General features: G+C 40.2%; 1 long non-coding RNA gene across 1 annotated transcript in view; it reads right to left on the reverse strand.

Moving 5' to 3' along the window:
• LOC107984435 (uncharacterized) overlaps positions 1–4,290 on the reverse strand; it is a 28,065-nt gene extending 23,775 nt beyond the window's left edge. Inside the window, exon 1 of the long non-coding RNA XR_001749305.2 lies at positions 4,116–4,290. This is a non-coding gene — a long non-coding RNA (uncharacterized LOC107984435). The remainder of the gene's footprint in view (positions 1–4,115) is intronic.
• Between the last annotated feature and the right edge of the window lie 1,768 nt (positions 4,291–6,058).

The raw sequence follows: 6,058 nt of genomic DNA on the forward strand, positions 1-6,058 counted from the left end.
TTCCACTCTTTGGCTGTTATAAATCATGTTGCTATGAATAACTGTATACAAGTTTTTGTGTTAACATGTATTTTAAAAAATTATCTTGGGTATATACCTGGAAGTAGAAATGCTGGGTCAAATGGTAACTCTATGTTTTAACTTTTTTTAGGAATGGTCACACTGTTTTCCAAAGTGACTGCACCATTTCATATTTCTACCAGCAACATCATCATCTTCCTTTTACAGATGAAGAAACTCATATCATGGAAAAGCATGGATGAAATCCTCTGACCACCCTACATTTAAAGGACCTTTAAAGAGAAAGAACTGACAGTGTAAGTGGAAAAAGAGCAACTGGAAGTAGCAGGAGAAGGAAAAACCATTATCATACAACTGGTGGGAAGAAGGAATGTCAAAAACATCAGTGTGAAAATAATTGCAGTAAAACGGTAAATCCCAGTAATTACTGAAAAGAGATTTTTAGGATGTGGGCAATGGAAGGTACATGGTGATTCTCAGAAGTCTCATGGGCAAGCAGTGAGTGAGATTGCCATGGGTGACAGTATATGTTACATAAGGAGGTGAAGGCAGCATGATTTGGAAATTCAGGTGATGGAAGGAAATGAGTAGAAATCCATCTTTGGATGGAGAAGGCATGAGCAGGTCTATGGAGGCAAGAAGCTGGAGTGATTAAGATACTGTACAATGAGGTAGAGTGATGTATTGGAAAAGCTGAGGAGGGGATAGCTTCCCAAGAGTTAATGAATGGGGGTGTTTCATACAAAGAGAGACTTATTTCTCTGTGGCCACAGATGGAAGGAGAGATAAGAGTGACTGGGGGCCGGGCGCGGTGGCTCACGCCTGTAATCCCAGCACTTTGGGAGGCTGAGGCGGGTGGATCACGAGGTCAGGTGATCGAGACCATCCTAGCTAACACGGTGAAACCCCGTCTCTACTAAAAATGCAAAAAATTAGCCAGGCGTGGTGGCGGGCACCTGTAGTCCCAGCTACTCGGGAGGCTGAGGCAGGAGAATGGCGTGAACCCAGGAGGTGGAGCTTGCAGTGAGCTGAGATTGCACCACTGCACTCCAGCCTGGGCAACAGAGCGAGACCCTGTCTCAAAAAAAAAAAAAAAAAAAAAAAAAAAAAAAGAGTGACTGGGGGATACATTCTGGTCTGATTACATCTTCCAGAGTTAATATGTTGATTAGGTTCAGAAGTCCTAAGAAGATGCCAGGACCCAAGCTGTTTTCCTTCCCTCTCTGCAGGAGGAAGGTGATCTCTGGGCTCCCACTCCCACCCTCACTATGCCCTCATAATAGTTTCCAATGCAATGAATAAGAAGTCAATGAGTGTCACGAGTGGCTTTTTAGCCTACCCCATCTATTCAAGGAAGGCTTAAGCCTTGAGTCAAATCCCAGAGTGAGAATTTCTTTTGTATTTTTTGAGTTTCTCTGTGCATTCATTATAGCCCTCATGGAAGCTGGATTTTCCTGAGAAGTAAATGTAGATTCCTGAGCTGTAAGAAACCAGCTTGGAGAATCCTTCTGAACTGTCATTAATCGTGCTTGTTCCTTAGTATATTTATTAGGTATTACATTTTTTTCTTCAAAGTCCCAAAAAGCCTTCCTAATTAAGAAGCCAGGAATTAGTACATTGTTTCTTAAAAGTGGAAGTGATAGCGCTTTCTTACGGTAAGTCTGGGCCATTCCAGTTGATAGTACTGATTTATAAAGCCTGTTGGGGTTTTCCTCAGAGGAGAAGGAAAAACCTCATTGCATGTACTAGCAGCACACTAACCACAGCCCCCGGCTGATATCAGAGGCATTTTAATAAAATCCAGCATAGAAATGCAGATTTTGTTACACCGATTCCAACTGATAATTAACTACAAACGTTTGACAATCTCAGAAAAAAATGTTTGGCATGACTACATGTGGTTTAAAATCTAGATTACAAATTCTGGGGGTGGTGAGGGGTGGAGAAAGCCGTACTTTCAAGTAAAATGAGAACTTTCGCTGTGGACTGTTAGGACACCTCCTGGGCCCCAGTGAGGGCCACTTCCGAGCAGCTGCAGCCACTTAGACCAGTCCTGCATCTTCCCTCTGCAGAGAAGGATGGCCTATCCCAAGGTCCCTTGCGGTTCTGAATGTGGTTCTGCGTAGTCCATAGACAAGAAAATGTCCCTTTGCATAATTAATTTCCTCTGTTTCTATGGCCCTTTTACATTTTCCAAGGAGGTTTGCATCCAAGGAAGCTCTTGTTATTGTTTTGATCACAGCTGATTGGAGAGGCAAGACAGGTGTTTTTACCTGAGGTCCACGGAGATCACAGGGTTTTTCGACTCGTCAGGAGCTTGGGTAGGAGAAAGACGGTTCCAAGCTTCTTGGCAACATTGTCTGGAAATGTATTCATCAGACCCTGTCTAGCAGGCAGAGTTTAAAAAGCAATTGCTCCCTTTTGTGTGTGCCTTTAAGGATGAGAGACTAACAGAATAGCTTGAGTATCTGTGGGGCAGGAGGAGGTTTTATTTGAAAGACACATCTGATATTGCTAGTACCTACAATACCGATGTTGGTTTCTTTTGGAGACCCCAAGTTCTCCAGCCTACTGGAGTTACCCTGTTCTGTGATATTTAAATAGAGACTGCTTGAACTCTCATTTCACAGAAGTGGAAACTGTTCTGTGTCTTCCCAACCCCTCACATCTGCAGGGATTCCCCAGGTACTTAAGAGTTTCCTGGGGAGTCCAGGTTTCTACTGAATTCTCCATTTCCTGACGTCTCCTTGTAGAGCTTCTCCTCTCTACCACCCTATGTCCACCAACCTGAACTTTTCCCTGAGTTTTCCAAAATCCTAACCATAAAAGAAAATTATGTATAGTGTAATTTAAGTGGAGATTTTGGGGTGATGCCCAAGAGCAATTGCCAGAAGCAATATAAAGGTGAACAGCTATTCTCAAAATTCCCCTGACCACATAGCTCTGCTAGTCCAAAAGACAACTTTCTGTGAACTTAAAAAGAGTGCATCCTTCAAGGTCTTTATTATCATCTTGTTAAAAGAAAAACCTTAGACAAATTAAATTTAACACAGTTTAGTTGAGCAAAGAATGATTCGTGTATCAGGCAGCCCCCAAACCGGAATAGGTTCAGAGGCTACAACATACTCACAAAATGAAAGATTTATGGACAGAAAAAGGAAGTAAGGTACAGAAATAGCCGGATTTGTTATAGCCCAGTGTTTGGCTTATTTGAACACAGTTTAAACAGCTGGCTGTCTTTGATTGACCAAAACTTGGTGATTGGCGCAAGAATATGTTACAGTCTGTTTATACCTCCAATCAGGTTACAGTTCACTATGTATGGAGAAACATTTACACTGAATGTAGACTATATAAGGAGTCAGCTTTAGGCTAAACTTAATTTAACAATTACCCCAACTTTATGTGTTGATTTGTTCTGTCACCATCATAAATGTACTCATTTGTTCTCCCGTTCCACTGGGAAATAGCAGAACAATGGGTTTTGTAAGTTGGGAACAAGGACATCAGGCAATTTTTTGTAAAGGTTAGAGTAGAGGGGACCTCCTTGTGCTGCAGTTAAACAAAACATGGTCTGTTTCGGAACCTATCTACTTCCTTAAAGTTTCAGTTTGATTATATCACATTTAGCATGAGTGACTCCATTTTGGTTTGGTCTGGTCTGCTGTGGCCTAGTGCACGAGTTCAATCCAAAAATGGCCTCCTGTAATTTTGTTTAACAATTTGCTGAGAAATTGTTCTAATAGTTATGTGAATCAGGAGGCCGATATTGCCAATATTTCTCCCTGGAGTTGTGCAGTGCACAACTGACACAGCTGGGAGTAGTGCCATTCCTCCCACAGGAAGCTTCTCCCTGGCCACCCCTTCTCAGGACCCAGGCTTCCTAAATCTTCACTGTCTCTCTCTCTCTCTCTCTCTCTCTCTTTCCCCACCCCTTCCTTCCATTAATCTCCCTTAGTTCCTTCTATTCTAGGTTATTTTACTTACTTGCTTTTGATGTTCCTTGGAGACATTTATAACTCTTAGGCTATTATGCAGAGCATTTAATTTTCTACTTCTCTCCCCTGCCTATTCCATCTTGGCCCAAGGCTTACCTTTTCTCAACTGAAATGGCCCATCCTGGCATTTTACTGTTAATTCCCTGAGGGCTTCTTCTTCCAGCTTTTTCCAATAACTTGCCTCCACTCCTTGCCATATTTATTAAAAAGAGAGAGATTTGGTTAGACTCTTTATTACGATCCCCATAGCAACTTCTATCTCTCCTTTAAAAATCTTCATATTACAAACCTGGCATATAGTGGATGCCCATAAATATTTGCTGATAAAATATTTATGATGGAATGTATAGTGCTATGTGGTTTTGGTTTTTTAGAACATATTAGACTGTGAATTAATAATATCAGAATTCCCACCAATAGTTCTGGGTTTTACATTTAAGCCTTTAATCCATCTTGAGTTAATTTTGTATAAGGTGTAAGGAAGGGGTCCAGTTTCAATTTTCTGCATTTGGCTAGCCAGTTTTCCCAGCACCGTTTATTAAATAGAGAATCCTTTCCCCACTGTTCATTTTTATCAGGTTTGTCAAAGATCAGATGGTTGTAGATGTGCGGTCTTATTTCTGAGATCTCTATTCTGTTCCATTGGTCTATGTGTCTATTTCTGTACCAGTACCAGCCGTTTTGGTTACCGTAGCCTTGTAGTATAGTTTGAAGTCAAGTAGCGTGATGCCTCCAGCTTTTTTTTTTTTTTTTTTTTTTTTTTTTTTTTTTTTGCATAGGATCGTCTTGGCTATATGGGCTCTTTTTTGGTTCCATATGAATTTTAAAGTAGTTTTTTTCTAATTCTGTGAAGAATGTCATATGAGAACGCATGGACACAGGGAGGGGAACAACACACACTGTGGCCTGGCCAGAGGGGCTCGGGGAGGGAGTGCATCAGGATAAATAGCTAATGCATGCTAGGCTTAATATCTAGATGATGGGTTGATAGGTGCAGCAAAACACCATGGCACACATTTACCTATGTAACAAAACTGCACGTCCTGCACATGTAACCTGGAACTTAAAATTTAATTTAATTTAATTTAATAATAATAACATCAGAATTCTTGGTGTTTAGCAAAGTACCCAGATCACAGTGGGTGCTCAGAAGGTATTCATTAAATGAATATTCATCAACAAGTTAATCCATTTTTTACCTAACCCAGTGGAATCTGCTGAGCTAACCATCATGAGAAATAATGCTGGAGGTATAGGGTTCATTTTAGATCTTTAGGTTTTTATGGCTGATTCATTCATTCATGGAATGAAATTATTTAACATGAAAAATAAACCCTCTAGAATGTTAGTCCCTTTAAAAGAGATTTTTAAGGACATTCTCATTTTTTTCCCCAGAGCCCTATGAAGCAGATAGTACCTACCCCTCCCCCTGCCACCCCACTTTACAGATGAGAAAACTAAGGCCCAGAGAGATTGAAGCAACTCTGTTAGGTTCACACATCCAGTAAATGATAGAACAAGAACTTGAACAGAAACTTACTAATGCCAAGTCTACATTTTCTGCTCCGTTATAGCTTCTCTGATTCAGAAGAAGAGGACTATGACTCCAAAGTTCCCTTTGCAATGTAGATGTTTAAAAAATATGTTTTTTGTAAAAAAGTAAAATGCATTACTCAGTACCAATGCAAGTCTTCAGCCTAGAATCCAGACCATTAAGCATGCAGCAGCACAGCATACTTTGAAAGAGGCCTCATAAAAACACATAGTTGACATTGTCTCTAAGGATTTTAGCTAAGTAGACTGAATCTAGTGGGGAAAATAAAATCTTTTCCCAGAGCTTCGCAGAAGTGGAAAGTGAAAGATTGAGAGCTTGTGAGAAATAACAGACACTTTAAAAAATGTTGATTAGAAATAGAAGAATGGTAGAAGGATTTTTTAAATGAATAAATAAAAATGGTACAACATTTGGAATATTGTTTAGAATCATATAATTTTAGGACTGAAAGGGACCAGTAAAAGCATCTAAGGCTCTCCTTTTG

Source organism: Homo sapiens, chromosome 12, assembly GCF_000001405.40.
Source record: "Homo sapiens chromosome 12, GRCh38.p14 Primary Assembly".
Classification (NCBI taxonomy): Eukaryota; Metazoa; Chordata; class Mammalia; order Primates; family Hominidae; genus Homo; species Homo sapiens.